Source organism: Homo sapiens, chromosome 12, assembly GCF_000001405.40.
Source record: "Homo sapiens chromosome 12, GRCh38.p14 Primary Assembly".
Taxonomy (NCBI): Eukaryota; Metazoa; Chordata; class Mammalia; order Primates; family Hominidae; genus Homo; species Homo sapiens.
Genome location: NC_000012.12, coordinates 45,197,169 through 45,218,759, shown reverse-complemented (window position 1 = coordinate 45,218,759; position 21,591 = coordinate 45,197,169). Strand labels below are relative to the sequence as shown.

Here is a 21,591-nt window from a genome sequence, read left to right as displayed (position 1 = left end):
TTTCACCAGTCTCCTCTCCCACAGTTGGAAATAATAATTATTTTGTAAAAGGCTTTGGACCACTATCAGCCTACTCCTGGTAATCTTTAAAAAGGCTTATTCTTTTGTAAAGGCATAAACTTAACATTGGCATAGTTAAGTATTTTCTGATATAAAATCACTACAACCCACATTAAATTTGTACTTCCAAAAAAACAACCAACTAGGTGGATATGGTGGTGCCTAAAGTCCCAGCTACTTGGGAGGCTTAAGTGGGAGGATCGCTTGAGCCCCGTAGGTCGAGGCTGTAATAAGCCATGACCACATCACTGCACTCTAGCCTAAACGACAGAGCGAGACCCTATCTCAAAAAAAAAAAAAAAAAAAAAAGAGAAAGAAAGAAACAGAAATCACATTCATAGATACTGGGTGTTAGAACATCAGCATATCTTTTCATTCACTGAGAAGAAAAAAATATTGCCAAGACCTGTTTAAATGGTACCTGCTGCTTGACGTAAAATATGTTGAGATGACCCCTACAGTAGAGACCCCAGGGCCCCACAGGAATAGTGGGAAATGCCCTACTAATATTAACACTAAAGTATTAGTATTAGTAGTTTCTAGAGGGTGGGGAGGAGTAGAGATATTTAACTTTTTCTTAAGTCTATCTACACTGTTTGACTGGACAAAACTAGCATGAATGACATGTCATTAAAAATAAAAAGAGCTTACTGCCACACGCTTAAGATGAATTTATACGATGCCTCAATAGGTAAACACAGACTAGACCAAATTACTTTCTAAACTGAGATCTACTGCTGGCACAGTAAAACAAAGCTCAGAGCCTCTTGCTTACTTCAGTTTCCATTTGAGCTTCTGCCCTTATTTACTTACAATACTCATTATAAACAGTGCAGCTCACCATAAAAGACAATAATACTTTCCTGGGAAACAGACTGTGTCAATTTTATTGTAACTTTTTAAATTTCACTCCTATATTTTTATGTAATCATCAGGTACTACTTAATCTTGCTAAACAGTAGTAACAGCCAGAGTGACCCAGTGGTAAGAGCATTAATCTTCACTGGTTTTACAAGTCAGAAAACCTGGGTTTGAAAGTGTGAGAAGCTGGGCAGACCAACCTGTGCGCTTCAGTTTTCTCTCCTATAAAAACTACTACTATTTGCTCTCTCCTTAAAGATGAATAACTAGTAAATTGTTCTTAAATGAATGAATGAAATGTGAAACTAAATCATGGAGTGTAATCTCCTCTATTCGATTTGTCCCTGGACAACCAAGAAGTTACCAAATTTTTTTGATCGAAATATTCCGTGCCCAAAATGTAACAGAAATAAAAACCACACCCAACTCCTAAAATTAAGTTACTTTTAAAGTTATTAGATAACAACAGGGCTTTAGAACATCAGCAGGATGTTCTGCTTTAAAATTGATTTGGCATCCAGGAGACTAAGCCGAGTCGCCACAACAGACTGGCTTGGTAATTTAATTAGAGTCTTCTGGAGGGACACATTATATCATCATCCCCCGACAGTGTTCTCTTTAGGGACCTGATTTTCTCTCTAGTCCTCTCATTCCTTTCCCCTTCCTCACCTCCTCTCATCCCTTTTGTTTGCCCTTTTTTTCTTTTTTTGCTCTTAAAACAGCTCTCCCTCCGTTCGTCTTGTCACTTCCATGCATTTTTAACTCTAACTAGAAATGGGTCACCCCAGGTTTGCTCCCCAAGCCCCAGGGCCCCTCAGGACGAGTGAAAAAGGCCCTGCGGTCCTCCCTGCCTGGGGGAATTCCTCCTCCGATCACAGCTCCGGTGGGCTCCGCAGATGGGAAAGGGTTTCCAGCGCGCGCCTAGCGGCCACAAATCACTTCCCGGGGCCGCCCCGCCAGGCCTCAAACCTCCCAGAGCCGTCGGTCGGCTTTTACTTTAACGAGGATTCAGATGGGTCACACCCTGTCCTCCAAATGCGGGCCTGCTCCCCGGACCCCGCCCAGGGGGCTCGCCCCAGTGCCGAGGCTCCTGGGCAACCCTAGCACTCTGCGAGTCGGGGAAGTGACCCCAAAGTTGCTTCTGAGTGGAGACTTCCGCACGCAGAGGCGTCCCCGCAGCTGCCAGGCTTTTCAGGGGCAGCATCCCCCGCCCGTCAGGAGCCTGTCCTCGGGGCCACCACGCGCCCCGCGCCTCAGCCCCGCAGGGGCCGCACCGGGGCCTCAGTCTGCAAGCAGCCGGGGACAGCGGGCTTCCTCCCCTGCCCGGAGCGGCCGAGCGTCTCGGCCAACCTCCCCCGCGGAGAGCACAGCGCCCCCGCGCAGTCCCCGAACTTCTTCCCGCGTCGGCTCGGGCTCTCGGGTGGGGACGCGGGGACCCCTCGCTCACCGATATCCCCATCGTCGTCGTCCTCCTCCTCCTCCATTTGTAGCAAAACATTCCTGCTCATCTTTTTCATGTCTCCCTCAGAAGGCGGCTCCGAACTTGGCGCGAAGTTGGGGGCTCCCGGGTTCCAGAACGGCGCGGCTCTCCCAGGGGCCGGATCGGGGACCGCGGGGCGTGTGTCGCTTGGGCTCAGGGGCCGCTGAGCCCAGCCAGCGCCGGGGAAAGCCGAGCCGAGGCACCCACCGACCGGAGCCCAGAGCCGGAGGACGCCTCTCGCCTGCCGAGCGGAGCCCGGAGACTGAGCATGCCCAGTGCGGCCGCCGCGGCTCGCTGCGGAATGATTGAACTTCCCCGGTTTTACGAGGCGCGCAGAAGGAAGTCGGCAGGCGAGACTGCAGAGGGAGTAGTGCGATCCTGCGCGCGGGGGAACTAGCTGGAGGGCAAGGCGGGAACACGTGAGTGCGGGAGTGGACTGGGTTCCCTGAGCATTGATCCCAAACAGGGCAGCTTTTCGTTCCAAGGTCGTCTGTGGACACACACTGTGGCTTGCTTTGTTTTAACGTCTGATACTGGAGAGGAGGGAAATGCTGCTGCAGCACAACTGCAGAACCCTGGAAGGCGAACTCGTTTGAATGGCTTTTAAAGGCGACGTGGAGCTAATAATGGGGGGATCTTAAATTACTCTAGCTCCGAAGTGGGAAAGTGGAATCTGTACGGGTAGGTTAAGATTACGGTGGAGTCGGGGTGGGAGGAGAGGCAAAACTCAGAGAATAAGCAAAAGAAGAAGGGGCGGGACGGACGGGAGTGGGGGTGGAGAGAATTTTCTAAATAAACGTGTGCACAAAGGCAGGAGGATTTCCGCATACATTGAGGTCGCGGAGAGTGGAGAAGCGCCCCCTACTCCGCCCGCGCGAGCACACAGGGAGTGGTCGGAAGATAATCGCTGAAGCGTCCAGCCTATTTGTACAATTGAAACTAGTCCTCTGTGTCAAAGAGGGAGAAGAAGCCGAAGACCACTAGAGTTAGATGTAAACTCTTCTAAAGCAATGTGGAAAGCTATAATAAGAGAAAAGAAAGTCGTGAAATAAAATTAAGGCAGAGAGTTTTTATTTTTATTTTTAATGCTTTCCTGGAAACCAAAGGGACCGATAGGACAAATACAAAGGGATTTAGTACTTTAAAGACCCTTGGAGTTGTTTGAACGGCAGGTTTTGGGGATCGCGTGTCTACAAAACTTTTTTCAAAAAAGCTGGTACATTCAGGTTGTTCAATTTTGACTTCTCAAAAGGGCTAGAAGGTATATTTGAAATCTTGGTTATATGTGTTATTGTCTACTCATTGAAATTGTTTATATTTTTTCCACTGAAGTGCTAGGGTTATCACAATAACACTAAATCTACTGTGCATGTTTTTTCTTCCACATACTTTTTTTAAGACGGTCTCGCTCTGTTGCCGAGGTGGGAGTTCAGTAACTAGAACTACAAGCGGAGCACACCACCATGTGGGGCTTATTCTTAAATTTTTTTGTAGAGATGGGTGTCTCACTATGTTGCCCAGGCTGGTTTCGAACTCCTGGCCTCCAGCAATCCTTGCACCTCAGTTTCCTAACATTTTTAATGTTCTCTCTGAAAGAAAGAAAACATTGGGACCAATCTTAAGTGGGAAAATAGACATGAATATATACATGAAAAGACATGATGAAATTACTTTTAAGAAAATACCTGGGAAACACTATACTTGCTTCTTGAGGTACTTTTTTTGAATAAACAGAATTGTTTTTAGTATAAAGAGACAACAATACAGTACTCTGAAGATAGGAGAAAAAAATGATGGGAGAAGAAAGATGAGAAGAGATTGTTTCCTTTCACTGAACACTCTCCCCTGAGCTTGTGAAACTCACTAAAAGTAGAAACTTCAAAAGTGTTTTGGTTACATGATCAATTTTTACAATTTTCTTTTAACAAATTTTTGTGTAGTACTTTTTATGTGCTAGGAAAAGTTTTACATGTTTTATAAGCATCCAGTCATTCAACCCTCATAACAACCCTAGAAAGTGTTATCATTTTTCTTCAGGTGTGAGGCAACTTGAGCAACTTGTCCAAAATCACACAGGGAATAAATAGTGGAGCCAGGATTGAAACCTCAACAGCTTGTTTCAGAATCAGTGCTCATAGCCTCTTCATAAACCACCTCCAGAGACATGTCCCAATCCATTTTTTTTTCAGATCACTTTTTCCCCCACCAATTCAAAATTCAAAGTCTCATCAACTCCCTGCCATAGTTCTTTAACCAAATGTTCTCTCTTTTTTTTTTTAAGACAGAGTCGCGCTCTGTCACCCAGGCTGTAGTGCAGTGGCTAGATCTCGGCTCACTGCAAGCTCCACCTCCCAGGGTCACGCCATTCTCCTGCCTCAGCCTCCGGAGTAGCTGGGACTACAGGCGCCCACCACCACGCCCAGCTAATTTTTTGTATTTTTAGTAGGGACGGGGTTTCACCGTGTTAGCCAGGATGGTCTAGATCTCCCGACCTCGTGATCCGCCCGCCTCTGCCTCCCAAAGTGCTGGGATTACAGGCGTGAGCCACCGCGCCCGGCCTTGTTCTCATTTTTATGGACTAAGACTTCGGTCAAAGTTACTTTGTAGTTAAAAAATTATCGAAGTTGACTTTGCAACAAGTTTTAATTAGTCATTTAGAATTCTTCACAGATTTTTAAGAGTTTACATTTTTCTTCTTTGATAAATGTTGCAGCGAAACATTGTTGGCCTTATATGTAAAGGTAACTGTTGCTAGAAGGGAACTCTATTATTAGTAAATTCCATTCTTTCCTCTAATCCATTTTATTTCCTACCACTTCTCTTCTGCATTTTTTTTCAGTTGAGCAATCAATATATGCCTCAGAAATAGGATAATAGGCCTATGTAAGAACCACACATTTAACCCTGAAGAATTATCATCCATACAATAATAATTTGTGAAATAAAATATTAATATACAGCCAGGTTATTTGTATTTGCAAAGCTTTTTCAAGTCAGGGATCGCAGAACAATTATTTTCTCATTCATTCATCTGATTAAATACAACTTTTGGCCACCAGGATATTCTTTCTCTGCCCATCCTGTAAAAGTTGTTGCTTTTCTAGCTTCAGGTCTTGGGTCTCTTTTCTTCTCATCTTTCCCTATAGAACTCATTCAGTCCTATAACTTTACTATCTAATCCAGGCAGGGTCAGCTTGATGGGCATTCAAACAGTGTATTCACACAGAGCCCTACACTCTTATGGGCCTAACACTTGGGATTTAAATGTTCTGTGGTTAATGCCCATCAATGATAGACTAGATAAAGAAAATGTGGTACATATACACCATACTATGCAGCCACAAAAAGGAATGAGATCATGTCCTTTGCAGGGACATGGATGAAGCTGGAAGCCATTATCCTCAGCAAACTAACACAGGAACAGAAAACCAAACACCACATGTTCTCACTCATAAGCGGGAGCTGAACAAAGAGAACACATGGATACAGGGAGGGGAACAACACACACTGTCGGGGGGTGGGGTGGGGGGAGGGAGGGCATCAGGATAAATAGCTAATGCATGTGGGGCTTAATACCTAGGTGATGAGTTGGTAGGTTCAGCAAACTACCACGGCACACGTTTACCTATGTAACAAACCTGCTCATCCTGCACATGTATCCCAGAACTTAAAATAATTTTTTAAAAAAGATTCTGTGGTTGCCATCCTGAAATTCTTTTCTTTTCTTCTTCTACTTTTATTTTAGGTTCTGGGGGTACATGTGCAGTTTTGTTATGGGTAAATTGTATGTTGCTGAGGTTTGGTGTATGAATGATCCTGTCACCCAGGTATTGAGCGTAGTACCCAATAAATAGCTTTCCAACCCACCCCACTCCCACTCTCCCCGCTTAAGCAGTCTCCAGTGTCTATTGTCTCCATCTTTGTATCCATGTGTATTAAATGTTTAGTTCCTACTTACAAGTGGTAATGTGCAGTATTTGGTTTTTCTGTCCCTGCATTAATCTGCTTAGGATAATGGCCTCCAGCTGCATCCATGTTGCTGTAAAGGACATGATTTGGTTCTTTTCTATGGCTGCATGGTATTTCATGGTATATATATATACCACATTTTCTTTATCTAGTCCATCATTGATGAGTGTCTTGGTTGATTCCATGTCTTTGCTGTTGTGAATAGTGCTGCAGTGAACATACCAGTGCATGTTCATCTTTTTAGTAGGACGATTTATTTTTCTTTGGGTGTTTAACCAGTAGTGGGATTGCTGGGTTGAATGGTAGTTTTGAGTTCTTTGAAAAATCTCCAAACTGCTTTCCATAGTGGCTGAACTAATTTACATTCCCACCAGCGGTGTATAAGCATTACCTTTTCTCTACAACCTCAACAGCATCTGTTGTTTTTGACTTTTCAGTAATGTCCATTCTGACTGGTGTGAGATGGTATCTCATTGCAGTTTTGATTTGCATTTCTCTAATGATTAGTGATGATAAGCATTTTTTTCATATATTTGTTGGCCACGTGTATATCTTCTTTTGAGAAGTGTCCGTTGATTTCCTTTTGCATGTTTTAATGGGATTGTTTCTTTTTTGTCTGTTGAATTAAGTTCCTTACAGATTCTAGATATTAGACCTTTGTCTGATGCATAGTTTGTAAATAATTTCTCCCATTCTGTAAATTGTCTATATACTCTGTCGATAGTTTCTTTTGCCATGCCAAAGCTCTTTAGTAGGTCCCACTTGTCAATTTTTGTTTTTGTTGCCATTGTTTTCTGGGACTTAGTCATAAATACTTTGTCAAGACCAATGTCCAGTATGGTACTTTCTAGGTTTTCTTCCAGGGTTTTTATTGTTCTAGGTCTTACATTTAAGTCTTGAATCTGTCTTGAGTTAACTTTTTTATGTGGCGAAAAGAAATGGTCCAGTTTCAACTTTCCGCATATGACTAGCCAGTTATCCCAGCACCATTTATTGAATAGGGAGTCCTTTCCTCATTGTTTGTTATTATTGACTTTTTAAAGATCAGGTGATTGTAGATATGTGGCTTCATTTTGGGGTTCTGTATCCTATTCCATTGGTCTATATGTCTGTTTTTGTACACATCATGCTCTTTTGGTTACTATAGCCTTTGGTTTGAAGTCAGGCACTGTGATGTTATTTGTTCTTTGTTCTAGCTTTGTTATTTTATTTATTTTATTTTATTTTAGTTATTTTATTTTATGTTATTTTATTTTATTTTATTTATCTGAGACGGAGTCTCGCTCTGTTGCCCAGGCTGGAATGCAGTGGCCTGATCTCGGCTCACTGCAACCTCCACCTCCTGGGTTCAAGCCATTCTCCTGCCTCAGCCTTCCAAGTAGCTGGGACTACAGGTGCACACCACAACACCCAGCTAATTTTTATATTTTTAGTAGAGATAGTATTTCACCATGTTGGCCAGTCTGGTCTCGAACTCCTGGCCTCAAGTGATCCACCTGCCTCAGCCTCCCAAAGTACTGGGATTACAGGTGTGAGCCACCACACCCAGCCCAGCTTTGTTATTTTTGCTTCGGATTGCTTTGGTGATTTGGGCTCTTTTTGGTTTCATATGAATTTTAGAATACTTTTTTCTAATTCTGTGAAAAATAGCTGATAGATTGACAGGAATAGGATTTAGTCTATAAATTGCTTTGGGCAGTATGGCCATTTTAACAATATTGATTATTTCTATCCATTAGCATGGAATGCTTTTCCCTTAGTTTGTGTCATCTCTGATTTCTTGCTGCAGTGTTTTGTAATTCTCATTGCAGAGATCTTTCACCTCCTTGGTAAGCTCTGTTCTTTGGTATTGTATCCTTTTCTTTTAGTAGTTACTGTAAACGGGATTCCTTTCTCTCTTTTTTGTTCTTTTTCTTTTTTCTTTCTTTTCTTTTTTTTTTTTTTTTTTTTGAGATGGGGTCTCACTCTGTCACCTAGGCTGGAGTGCAGTGGCAAAATCACAGCTCACTGTAGCCTTGACCTCCCAGGCTCAAGCTTTCCTCCTGTCTCAGCCTCCTGAGTAGCTGGGACTACAGCCACATGTCACCATGCTTTGGTAATATTTGTTTTAATTTTTATAAAGAGGGTCTGCCTGTGTTGCCCAGGCTGGTCTTGAACTCCAGGGCTCAAGAGATCCTCCTGCCTCAGCCTCCCAAAGTGCTGGGATTACAGGCTTGAGTCATGTGCCCAGCCAGGATTGTGTTCTTGATTCGGCTCTCAGGTTGGCTGTTATTAGTGTATAGAAATGCTGCTGATTTTTGTACATTGATTTTATATCCTCAAACTTTTCTAAAGTTATGTATCATCAGTTCTAGGATCCTTCTGGCAGAGTCTATGGGGTTTCCTAGGTATAGAATCAATCATCTGCAAAGAGAAATAGTTTCATTCTCTCTCTTCCTCTTTAGATGCCTTTTATTTCTTTCTCTTGCCTGATTGCTCTAGCTAGGACTTTCAGTACTATGTTGAATAGAAGCAGTAAGAGTGGGCATCTTTGTCTTGTTCCAATTCTCAACAGAATGCATCCAGCTTTTTGCCTGTTCGGTATGATGTTGGCTGTGAGTTTGTCATATATAGCTCTTATTATTTTGAGATATGTTCTTTTGATATGTAATTTGTTGAGGGTTTTTAATATGAAGCGATACTGAATTTTATTGAAAGCCTTTTCTGCATGTATTGAGATGATCATGTGGTTTTTGTTTTTAATTCTGTTTGTGTGGTGAATCGCATTTATTGATTTGTGTTTGTTGAATCAACCTTGCATCCCAGGAGTAAAGCCAACTTGATGATGGTAAATTAACTTTAATGTGCTACTGGATTCAGGGATGACTGGTTTTTAAGACTTGCTTGTCAGAGAGTTCACTCTCATGGTGCTTCTTAGCAGGCGCCTCTGTTTCTTCCTGCGAAGGCCTCTCCACAGGCTGCTTAAGTGTCCTCATGGCATGGTGCAATGCAGCGGAGTAGATGAGATGGAAGCCAGAATGTCCTTTATGACCTTGCCTTGTAAGTCACAAATTGTCTTTTCTGCTATTGGTTACATGTGTCAGTCTGCTGTATAAACTGTAGGAGGGGCTGATGCAAGAGCATGAATACTAGAGGCGGGGACCACTGGGAGCATCTCGGAGGCTGGCTGCCACACATTTCCACTATCTGTGTTCTGACTCATACTGCCATCATTCTTCATTCAATTGTTTATTCATTCAACAAATATTGGCCAGGCAATAATCCCAGCACTTTGGGAGGCCGAGGTGGGTGGCTTGCCTGAGCTTAGGAGTTCAAGACCAGCCTGGACAACATGGTGGAACCTATCTCTTCTAAAAATACAAAAATTAGCTGGGTGTGGTAGCGTGCGCCTGTAATCCCAGCTACTCAGGAGGCTGAGGCAGGAGAATCACTTAAACCAGGGAGGTGGAGGTTGCAGTGAGCCAGGATCACGCCACTGGACTCCAGCCTGGGTGACAGAGTGAGACTCTGCCTCCAAAAAACAAACAACAAAAAACCCTCAAATATTTACTGAGAACTATATGCTGGCCACTTTCATGGATGTTGGGGATTCAGTAGTTAAAATGAAAACAGACCACTTTGCTGCCCTCATGACCTTCCATTCTAGTGAATAGAGACAAGTAAATAAGTATATGTCAGGAGATGACAGGTACTAGTGAGAAAAATGAAGCAGGGCCAGAATGATAGAGAATGATGACTGAGGAAGGACCTTGTGTGGGGTGGTCAGGGAAAGCCTCTGATAAGCTGACATTTTAGCAGAGATCTGAAAGAAGTAACAGAACAAGACATGTAAGTACCCGCGGGAATAGGGTTTTAAGAAGAGAGAAATACAAAGGCCAGAGCCTTGAGGACACTCATGCTTAGTGTCTTCAAGAAGAGCAGAAAGGCCATGGTGACTGTGGTATAATGTCTTAGTTCACTTTGTGCTGCTATAACAGAATACCACAGACTGGATAATTTATGGTAAAAAAATGTATTAACTAATATTTCTGGAGGTTGCAAAGTCCAAGATCAAGGGACTCACATCTGGAGAGGGCTTTCTTGCTGCCATCCCATGGTGGAAGGTGAAGGTCAAAATAAGGTAAAGCATGAGACGGTATTGAACTCATCCTTTTAAAATAAACTCACTCTCGGCCAGGCGCGCTGGCTCATGCCGCCTGGGAGGCTCAGTTGGGTGGATCACAAGGTCAGGAGTTCAAGAACAGCCTAGCCAAGATAATGAAACCCCATCTCTACTAAAAATACAAAAGATTAGCTGGGCGAGGTGGCAGGCGCCTGTAATCCCAGCTACTTGCGAGGCTGAGGCAGGAGAATCGCTTGAACTTGGAGGGCGGAGGTCGCAGTGAGCTGAGATCGCGCCACTGCACTCCAGCCTGGGTGACAGAGTGAGACTCCATCTGAAAAATAAAATAATAACAATAATAATAAACTCATCCTCAAGATAATGGCGTTAATCCATTAATGAGGGTGGTGCCCATGACTCAGACACCTCTCATTAAGGTCCTGACACTACTGCACTGTGGACCAAGATTTCAACATATGACTTTGGAGGACACATTCAAACCATAGTGCCTACTGGTGGAGGAGGAGAGTGGTAGGAGATGGGGTCAAGGTTGGTGAGAAAGAGGGAGTGCTACTAATCACTTTGGGCCATGTGGGGCAACAGAAGGACTGGTGATTTTACTCTAAATCACATGGAAATCATATTTGAAATAGATGGGTGGCATTATTTAACATATTTTAAAAGGATCTTTCTGACTGCTTTATGAAAAATGGACTGTAGAATAGCAAATGTAGTCACAGAGAGACCAGTTGGGAAACTAGTTGTATAATATAGTGAAGCGATTGGCTGGGCGCAGTGGCTCACGCCTGTAATCCCAACACTTTGGGAGGCCAAGGTGGGCAGATCACCTGAGGTCAGGAGTTCGAGACCAGCCTGGCCAACCTGGCGAAACCCCATCTCTGCTAAAAATACAAAAATTAGCCGGGTGTGATGGTGCATGCCTGTAATCCCAGCTACTCGGGAGGCTGAGACGGGAGAATGGCTTGAACCTGGGAGGCAGAGATTGCAGTGAGCTGAGATCGTGCTGTTGTACTCCAGCCTGAGCAACACAGCAAGACTCTGTCTCAAAAAAAAAAAAAGACATATATATATAGTTTATTCAGAAATATATCCAGAATATGTATAGTCTATTCAGAAATATATCCAGAATATATATATGTATATATATGTATAGTGAATACATTTATGGTCTTTTCAGAACATATATATATATATGGAGTCTATTCAGAAATATATCCAGAATATATATATGTGTGTGTGTGTGTGTGTGTGTGTGTGTGTGTATATATATATGTGTGTATATATATAGTACACATATATAGTGTATATGTACTATATATACTATATATACACTATATATACACTATATATAATATATATAGTATACATAGTATATATAGTGTATATATAGTATATAGAGTATAGAGTATATATATACTATATATACACTATATATAGTATATATATACTCTATATAGTATATAGAGTATATATAGAGTATATATAGTATATGTATAGAGTATGTATATACTATATATAGTATATAGAGTATATATAGTATATGCATATTTTATATATAGTATATGTATATAGTATATATATATATATATATATAGTGAAGGGATGATTGCAGTGAACTGGGTGGTAATGGTAGATGTGGATTATGTGTTTTTGAGGTAGATCTGAAAAGAGTTTCTGATGTAGTGAATTTGGGTATGGGGGAAAAACGAAAGTCAAGGATGACTCTAAGGTTTTAACTTGAGTTATGAGAATGGAGTTGCTGTGTCTGAGATGTGAAAGACTACAGGAAAGCAAGGGGGTGGGGAAATAGTGTATTTTTTTGGACCTGTAAGTTTGAATGTAATATTAGACATCTATGTGGAGATGTCCAGTAGGCATGAATCTGGAATTTGGAGGAGAGCTTTGCACTAGACATATAAACTTAGAACTGAATAAGATCACTTGGAAAATGAGTTTCTACAAAGGGGTGATGTCTGAGGATTGAGGATTGAGCCCTAGGACACTTTTCTTCAACATACGCATGGGGAAAATGAGAAATAATCAGCACAGGAGACTAAACAGTAGTGGGCAGTCAGCAATGGGGAACAACAGGAAAGGGTGAGGTTGTAGAAGCCAAGTTAAAATTTTTTTCACAAAAGGAGGAAATGATCTCCTGTGCCAAATGAATCTGATTGGGTGGCTTTGTAAAAACTAGCTATTTAGCAATTTTTCTGTAGCTAGAACAGTTTTCTTTCTTTTCTTTTTTTTTTTTTTTTTTTTGAGACGGAGTCTCGCTCTTGTTACCCAGGCTGGAGTGCAGTGGCACGATCTCAGCTCACTGCAACTTCTGCCTCCCGGGTTCAAGCGATTCTCATGCCTCAGCCTCCCAAGTAGCTGGGATTACAGGTGCATGCCACCACACCTGGCTAACTTTTGTATTCTTAGTAGAGATGGGGTTTCACCATGTTGATCAGGCTGGTCTCGAACTCCTGACCTCAGGTGATCCACCTGCCTAGGCCTCCCCAAAGAGCTGGGATCACAGGCATGAGCCACTACACCTGGCTAGAACAGTTTCATTTGAGATAGAATAGAATCAGCCATTGGATTTTGTGATGGGAATTTATTGGTGACCACAATAGTTTCAGAGGCGGGAACGAAAGTTTAGAATGGCTTCACAGGAGAATGAAAGAAGAGGAAGTGGTCATAGTGACTATAGACAACTCTTTGATGCCACCTGAAACTCCTTGAGACCCATGAATGCTAGACTTCTCTCCATCTCCACTTGAATGCTAATAGGCAACTAAAATTTAACAGATTGAAAATTGACCTCCTGATTTTCCTCCCAGACCCTGGGCTACCCATAACCTCCATCTCAGATAATCAAAACTCCATCCTTCTAATTGCTCAGGCCCAAAACTCTCGAGTCAGCATTAACTCCTCTATTTCTTGTACACCCCATATCCAATCTATCAGCAAAGCCTTTTTAGTCTATTCAGAAATATATCCAGAATTATATCACTGTGCCCAACCTTCACTACCAATGTCTCATCTGTGACATCATCCTCTGTCACTTGGATTATATTCCTATCTGGTTTCCCTGCTTCCACCTCTGTCCCCTACATAGTCCACCCATGACATAGCAGCCAAAGTAATGCTTTTATTTTGTTTGTTTGTTTTTTGGCAAAGTAATGCTTTTAAACCATAAGGCAGACCATATCTCTCTTCTCTAACTACCAACAGCTCCCCATTCTAGCTAAAGTCTTCACAAAGCCATCCTATTTAAATTGCAAAATCTCCAGAGTCACTCTGTATGGTTGTGCAAGATATTTATTCTGCAAAATGCCTGGTCCAGGGGAATCAAATGAGGGCTAGCTCAGGCTCTGCTTGCCAAGCCACGTCGCTTGGTATAAGGCTCTGTCTGTATAAATTTCCCAAACAGGTTGTCAGCAACCCTCGACCCCTCTACATCTGTACTCCTTATCCCTCTTACTTTGCTTTCTTTTTTCCTTACCTTGTAGGCTCCTTTTACATACTATAGAATTTGGTTCCTTATTCTGTTTCTTGTCTGTCTTCACCAACTAAAAGATAAACTCCATGAGAAAAGTGCTTTTGTCTTTTATTCCTTACCATGTCTCCAGCATCTAAAACAGTGCCTGGCACATAGTAGATACTCAATAAATAATTTGAATTGAGTTTTTCTGTAGAGTAGTGGAGAAATGCAGTGGTAGATAGAAACATAAATGGGGGTCAAGAGAGGGAAAGGTTTCTAATGTGGGAGAGAGAAGGAGACGTTGCTGTTCTGATGTCCTTGGGTAAGTGAACGTGATGAGTTCCAGCACACCCTGGAGATGTGGGCTATGAAAATCAGGCTAAAACTTCCATCACAAGAACCACAGGGAAGGTAGAACATATGGATACAGATGTAGGTATATTTATTTTGAAAGCTTTAAAACATATAGAAAAGTTGAAAGAATAGTATAACAGATACCTGTACATCTATCACTAAGCTTCAACAATTGTGAATATTTTCCTATATTTGATTTATCTGTTTGTCTCTCTGTGTATATTTTACTGAACCATGTCAATGTTGCAGACATCATAATACTTCATCCCTACATAAATAATATATTCATACAGAGGATATTTAACAATATTTCCCTCAAATCGACTAATATCAATTCATATTCAATTCTCCCCAACTGTCTTAGTCTTGTATGGCTAAGTTCTTCATACAAGCACCCAGTCACATTTCACACACTGCAATTGGTTATGCTCCTGAACTTTGTTCCCCATGACTTTGACTTTTTCAAGAAAACAAGATAGCTGTGGGTGATATTTTTCCTCTAATGGTGTTGTGCAATGTCCAGTATTTTCTGTAATCTGGACATTAGGCAAAGGCTTAATTAGATTCAGGTAAAACATTTTTGGCAAGAGACTGTCACAGAAGATGCTGTGTACTTCATGTTGCATTATGTAAGAGGTGTACACTGGCTGGTTGTCCCACCATCATTGGTGCTCAGTTTGATCACTGGGTTATATGGTGAATGCCAGATCTTTCCAATGGGTCGAGACTCCAATCTGGGCAGTCTGACTCCAGGGTCTGTGCCTCTAACCACTTTGCTATATTGCCTCTCTGTGTAAGAGCACAGGGGTCAAGAACCAAGAGCACACATACAAGCCACAAGGCTAGGATTCAAATGTGGAACCTTCCCCCCCACAAAAAAGCTAATTGTTCCTCTTACTACCTAAAAATGTCTTATCAGTTTAGGGTCTTAAGAAAGGATTTTTGGAACTTGCTATACCTTCCCAGTGAAAGCAAACATCTTCTTCTAGAATTCTCTATTTATTGGGAAGGAGAAAAATATATTTATCAGCTTAAGACCTGGGTATCAAATACCAGGGACTGGGCTGATTTGTTCCAGTAAAGAGATAACTCAGATTGCAGCTGATTTTTGTTTCTATTTTGATTCTTTGTCATTCCCCAAGATCCGTATTGCTTATGCATAGAACAATGAGTAAATGAAATGGGAAAGTGGGCTTTGATGTGGGCATTAATCTCTGATTCTATGATAACCTGGGTTCTGAGGAGAGAGGGTTCTAATGTTGGGAAAGCAGAAACTTGAGATTAGAGTTCTTTTTTTGAAGGAGGTGGGGAATTAGGCCAGATGACCTATAGCCCTGCTCAAAAATGAACTGATACAGATAAATTTTTGGTTAGCAAATTTTCTGAGTTAAGTGTTCTTGTTTTTGTTTTGTTAGGGAAGATTGGCAAACAAATCCACTTGAAGATTTTAGAAAAAAAAAGTGAATAAAGTGCCCTTTCCCATGGCAATCTCCCGAGTCCGGATGTGTACCTTCTTGCTGTGGTACAAGGATCATTGAAAAAATTAGGATTAGAGCTACCCACATTGCTGGATTAGATTAGAACCACAGCATGAGGGCAACTGGGTTAGTGGGCAGGATAATTTTCTTAAAAAAGAGAAACTTGATTCTTTGGGCTTGTGAAGTTGAGTAGAGGCCACAGCTTTGCCCATAGCTTGTCCTCAATTGCTATGCAGGATGGAAAACATCAAAGACCCGCAAAATATCCACATGCTCAGTTCAATATTACGGAATCTGAGTCATTGCTGGGGTTGGGGGTGGGAGGTGAGGACAGGTGGGGAGGGGGTTTATAACACAACCTCAAAGTTATTTTGATTTTAATTCCATTTTAAAAATATATGATACTTTAAAAAGCAAGGTATCAGGGAAAATATGACATGGGAATCTCACACTCACAAAGATTAGAAATAACCCCTGCAGGCCGGGTGCGGTGGCTCATGCCTGTAATCCCAGCACTTTGGGAGGTTGAGGTGGGCGGATCACGAGGTCAAGAGATCGAGACCATCCTGGCCAACATGGTGAAACCTCGTCTCTACTAAAAATACAAAAAAAAGTTAGCTGGGCATGGTGACACATGCCTGTAGTCCCAGCTACTCAGGAGGCTGAGGCAGGAGAATTGCTTGAACCTGGGAGGCGGAGGTTGCAGTGAGCCGAGATCGTGCCACTGCTCTCCAGCCTGCCTGGTGACAGAACGAGATTCTGTCTCAAAAAAAAAACAAGAAATAACCCCTGCAATGATTAGACCAGTGGTTTCAACATGTGGGCAAACCACTTCATGGCCAGATTCCCCATGGCACTTTACTGACTTGCCATATAGTCTTCTTTTTCACTAGTATTTAATTCACATATCTCCTTTTCTAGAGCATTGCTAGGTATTTTTTATACTTGACAAAGGAGCATATTTTCATGACCATATTTAACTCAGAATTACCTAAGCCCTCTTGGCACCTTTTATCTCATTTACTGAGATTGTATGGCCTGCAAATCTGAAAATATCTACTATCTGACTCTTTCTAGAAAAAATTTGCCAACCGCTGGGTTATACTGTACCTTCCCTTGGCTTAATTTTTAGAAGATATATTATACACTGGAGATGGAGCTGTTTCAGCTTGTAAACAATATGTGAAATTAATACTTATAAAGAATCGCTTTATGTGTTGATTTTCACTCATTATTTTCAGAAATTGCATATTTTTTCCCTATAGATTATCATGGAAAAAGTCACAAAAGACTTCATAGACTTAGCAGGCAAGTCAAAGTGAGGGCTGTTTTGGACAAGAATTAAATGTCCTTTTTGGTTGAATCAGGAAAGAGAACAAAATCATGCTCAAGAATGGAGATGTGAGTCAACATTTACTTTTTCTTCCCAAAGTGTCTGTAGGGCCCCCTCAATATCTGGGAGCAAATGGGCCAAATACTTGGGTGTCTCTGCTTCTTTGGTGGCCTTGGGCACCCCTCAAGTTTGTTCTCACCCCCCTGGGCAGTGTGCATTCAGGAGGATCTTGTCACCTTTCCTTGACTCACTTCCTGGTGTACTCTCCGGACAATGATGCCAATTTGCCTCCCTCCATGTGCTGTATTGGGCCAGCCCTCCTTCCGTGTGTTCCATTCTCTGTATCTTCCACAAACTTGTTTTCCTCCATGACAGTCTTACTTGGAACCTGCTGCTGCAGTTCTGGGCTGCAGTCTTTAGGAGCTTTTAGACTCTTCATAGTGGACACATCCACCTCTCTGCCTTGGGGTTTTATTGGGGGCAGTATCTCCGTGCGGACATCTCTGATTTGTTTTCATTGACACCGCTGCTTATGAATACACAAGGGTGTGGGATCAAAATTGCAGATGATGCCCTCATTGCTGACCAGCATGGGGAGCCCTGGCAGTCCTGGTGGAGGCAGTCGTGCAGGACAAGGATGGTTGGCTGTGGTGGGTGTCCAGCTGTGCAAGTGCAGGCTGAGGCCCCTGGCCTGCAGTTGCTACTCAGCTGCCCAGCCCCACGCCACATCCCGGTTCCTGAGCACCACCTTCCTTGGCAAAGTTGATGCCCTTGTTGGCCTGGGTCCCCATTCCACACAGCTGTGTGGGTCGGCATCTGCAAGACAGGAGACTGCGGGTAGACTGCGAGCACCTAGCTGAGAGCAGACTTAGCTGGGAACAGGAAGCTTTTTTTTTTCTTTTTAGATTGTGGTAAAAAAATAATACCATAAATTTACTATCTTAACTGTTTCTGAATGGTTCAGTAATGTCACATATATTCACATTATTGTGCAACAGATCTCTTGAACTTTTTGATCTTGCAAAACTGAAACTATGTACCCGTTGAACAACTCCCCATTCCCTCCTCCCCCAACTTCCATTCTGCTTTCTGTTCCTATGAGTTTTGCCTACTTTAGATAGCTCATCTAAGTGGAATCATACATGTTTGTCTTTTTGCGACTGGCTTATTTCACTTAGCATAATATCCTCAAGGTCCAGAAGCTATCTTTTAGGAATTTCTGTTTTCTCAGTAGAATGGAAAATAAGGTCATTAGCAGGAGTGAGCACATGGAAGAAGGTTTAAGTAGAAAGATGTGGAATATCTGTCTAGGACCGCTGGAAAGCAAATGGACTAGGGAAATAGCCAAGGATTGCACCAAAATGTAAAGTGAAACCTGTCAGTGTAGTCATGTATTTTTTTCCAGACACATTCTGCACTTGTCAAGTAGGTAGACAGTTGTATATAACTAAGCTTGAGTTTGGCCAGGAGAGTTCAACAGAGGGAAAGAGTGGGAGGAAGTTGAAGGCATAAGCATGGGAATGCTTTTGCTGATGTATTATGGGATCCAAAAGTAGAAAAGTGAGAATACAAGTGAAAAAGACCAGTGAATTGCATATTCTGGTGGTGTGGAACTATTGGAATTGCTGGAGTTATTTCTCACCTGGATTACTGCTAAAACCTCTTTAGTAGTTTTCTTTCTCTTTCCAATACATTCTCCCTGCTATGGTCGGAATGATCCTCCTGACACAAAACTGATGGAATCGCTTCTTTTAAACTCTCCCAAGAGCTTCCGTTGCACAGTAGATAGTGACCAAACTTTCTCGCGACTTGAGCACCTGTCTATATCCCAAGCTTTATTCTCAACCCTTCTTCAGCATCTTTAATACTTCCAGCATCTTCAGTTATTTAACAGCTTCTTCCCCTATCACACCTCCAAGACTTTGCATGTGCTTTTATATCTGCTTGGACAAATTATCTCCATCTTCGAACTTGACTTTTACTTATCCATTAGGTCTTAGCTTATAAATTTTACTTCATCCTGGAAGCTTTCCTCATTCTTCCCCAGTCTATATTGAATATCCCTAATACATACTTGCAGCACATCCTGTATTTTTCCATGCTAGTATTTAATACACTTTAGCGTTAATGCCTACTTACTTTCATTTTAATTCTCTGTATTTTCTGTTGAGGAAAGTGACCCTGTTTGAATTTCTCGCCCAATATATGAAGCACTTGAGAGTTTTCAGTGTTTAGTTTGGTTTTGTTTTCTGAGACAGGTCTTGCTATGTCACCCAAGCTAGAGTGCAATGGTGCAATCATAGTTCACTGTAGCGTTGAACTCCTCCCAAGTAGCTAGGACTATAGGCATGAGCCACCATGCCTGGCTTATGTTTTGGTTTGTTTGTTTGTTTGTTTGTTTGTTTTTGTAGATATGGGGTCTTGTGAAGTTGGCCAGGTTGGTCTTGAACTCCTGGCCTCAAGTGATCCTCCTGTCTTGACCTCCCAAAGCACTGGGATTATAGGCATGAGCCACCACACCCAGCCTGGTGGTGTTTTTTTGTTTGTTTGTTTTTGTTTTTAATATTAAAATCCTGGCAAATAGTAGGTACATTTTAAAAGTGATCCTATTTCCTCTTTGAAACCCTTCTTCTCTGAGCTTCCGGGGAGCATCTCAATTGTCTGATTTCCTCAATGGCCAGTTCTCCTCTACCAGATCTCTAGCCTTCTATTCTATCTCTTTGCTATTATTTATTTATTATATTATAAATCCCAAAGTGCTGGAATTACAGACGTGAGCCACTGGGCCCAGCCTCTATTTTCTTTATGTTTGAAATTTTACAAAATAAAGAGGGGAAACAAATTCTCCAGTGTCTCTTTCTCTTCATCTTTTGTTCCCTTCTGTTCCCTTATTTTTTTCTTAAAAAAAAAAAATTCATTGGCCTTCTTCCTTTGAGACAGCCATACCTGGCAGGGCCTGAAGAGCTGGGACCAAGAGGGCAGTCAGAGCTGAGGAAGTGGCTGTGACTGAGGAGGGGATGGAGCCAGCTTCCAAGGTTGAGGAAGCAGTGGTAAGGTTAGAAGATTGATTACAGAGAGGAGTTATGAGCAAGTACATAAATAAGCTGCAAATATGGGAAGGCAGAAGGCCAGAATAAATTTTGCGCTTTTTGATTGGAACTGGAGATATTAGGGTGAAGTCATGGTACTTTAAAATATATACCTAGCTAGGTAGATATAGAGATAGATGTACATATGTTTGTGCATTATGTGTTTTATATATATGTTGTTTATATCTGTGCATTTCCTACTTCAGTCCAATGAGAAGGTGTAATGGAAATAAAAACCTTGTAGCTATGACTACGTTTAGCACCCAGATCTTGGTTCCTAAATACCATTTGTCGCTAAAAGGAACTGGGTTCCTGGGAGAAATGGCTGGTTCCAGGACTGGGCAGAAAATGCACAAGAGGAGCCTGCAACATTTTCATAGGCCAGACAATAAGGAAGAGCTTAAAAAATGATGAAGATGGGAGGCTGAGGCAGGAGGATCACCTGAGGCCAGGAGTTTTAGACTAGCATGGATAACAGAGCAAGATGCCCCATCTCTACAAAAAATAAACAATAAATAAATTAGCTGGGTGTGGTGGCATATACCTGTAGTCCTAGCTACTTGGGAGGCTAAGGCAGGAGGATCGCTTGAGTATAATATAGTAGAAGCCCATGAGTCCACACAGATATAAATGAATGAATGAATGATGAATAGGGAAAAAGAGAAAAGTCTTTATTGCATTAGAATGCTAGTAATAAATATCACCACTTGGCAACTGTCAGGATAATGATGGATTCAGACACAGAACACCAATGGATGCTAAAACAAGTAGGTGAAGGTTTATTGAGGAATGGAACATTTACATAGTGTCAAAGCTTTTCCCCCACAAAATAATGCATTACAAAGGTAAAAATAATAACTTTATAGTGGAAGAATCTGAGAAACAACAAATCTGATATTAGTCAAAGTAACATCACTAGAAATGAGACAAAGTAACATCACATACTGTCTCATATGTCATACTGAGAAGAATACAGCATAACTTCTGTCAGATTCCTATTATAAAGGCATAATCTGAATCTAATCATAAGGAAACAGAGAAACCCAAACTGAGGGGCCTTCTACAAAATAATTAGCCTGCTTTCTTGAAAAAAAAAAAAAAAGTCTGGGTTGCAGAAGACAGGGAAAGACTGAGAAATTATTCCAGACTGAAGTAGATTAAAGAGATATGACAATTAAATGCAACCCATGATTCTAGATTGGATCCTGGACAAAAAGGAGAAAAAAAACTTCCTATCAGGACATTATTAAGATAATTGTAGAAATTGAACGGGATATCTTAGATGAAAGGGTTATATCAGTATTAATTTCTTAGTTTAGATGGCTATCCTGTGGATTTGTAGGTGAACATGGGAACAATTAGGGAACCTTGTATA

The 21,591-nt window shown here is 41.8% G+C and overlaps 1 protein-coding gene and 2 pseudogenes across 5 annotated transcripts in view, besides 3 other annotated features; 1 reads left to right on the top strand and 2 right to left on the bottom strand.

Moving 5' to 3' along the window:
- The window catches only part of ANO6 (anoctamin 6), a 224,310-nt gene extending 221,645 nt beyond the window's left edge, over nt 1-2,665 (bottom strand). For all 4 annotated transcript variants that reach the window (NM_001142679.2, NM_001204803.2, NM_001025356.3 and 1 more), the window contains exon 1: nt 2,369-2,665. In NM_001142679.2, coding sequence (NP_001136151.1) covers nt 2,369-2,438 — 70 coding nt within the window. In that variant the 5' untranslated portion in view covers nt 2,439-2,665. The remainder of the gene's footprint in view (nt 1-2,368) is intronic.
- Nucleotides 1,660-1,789: an enhancer, noted in NCBI's record as "active region_6227". NCBI's record gives its function as "activates an Ori minimal core promoter by ATAC-STARR-seq in GM12878 lymphoblastoid cells {active_cell/tissue: GM12878}" and the evidence as "EXISTENCE:reporter gene assay evidence [ECO:0000049][PMID:35858748]".
- Nucleotides 2,030-2,339: a silencer, noted in NCBI's record as "silent region_4373". NCBI's record gives its function as "represses an Ori minimal core promoter by ATAC-STARR-seq in GM12878 lymphoblastoid cells {active_cell/tissue: GM12878}" and the evidence as "EXISTENCE:reporter gene assay evidence [ECO:0000049][PMID:35858748]".
- The window catches only part of PLEKHA8P1 (pleckstrin homology domain containing A8 pseudogene 1), a 42,973-nt pseudogene continuing 24,135 nt past the window's right edge, over nt 2,754-21,591 (top strand). Inside the window, exon 1 of the transcript NR_037144.1 lies at nt 2,754-2,820. The product of NR_037144.1 is annotated as a pleckstrin homology domain containing A8 pseudogene 1 (transcript). The remainder of the gene's footprint in view (nt 2,821-21,591) is intronic.
- Nucleotides 2,800-2,899: an enhancer, noted in NCBI's record as "active region_6226". NCBI's record gives its function as "activates an Ori minimal core promoter by ATAC-STARR-seq in GM12878 lymphoblastoid cells {active_cell/tissue: GM12878}" and the evidence as "EXISTENCE:reporter gene assay evidence [ECO:0000049][PMID:35858748]".
- Nucleotides 17,230-17,875, bottom strand: LOC100419293 (carbonyl reductase 1 pseudogene; annotated as a pseudogene).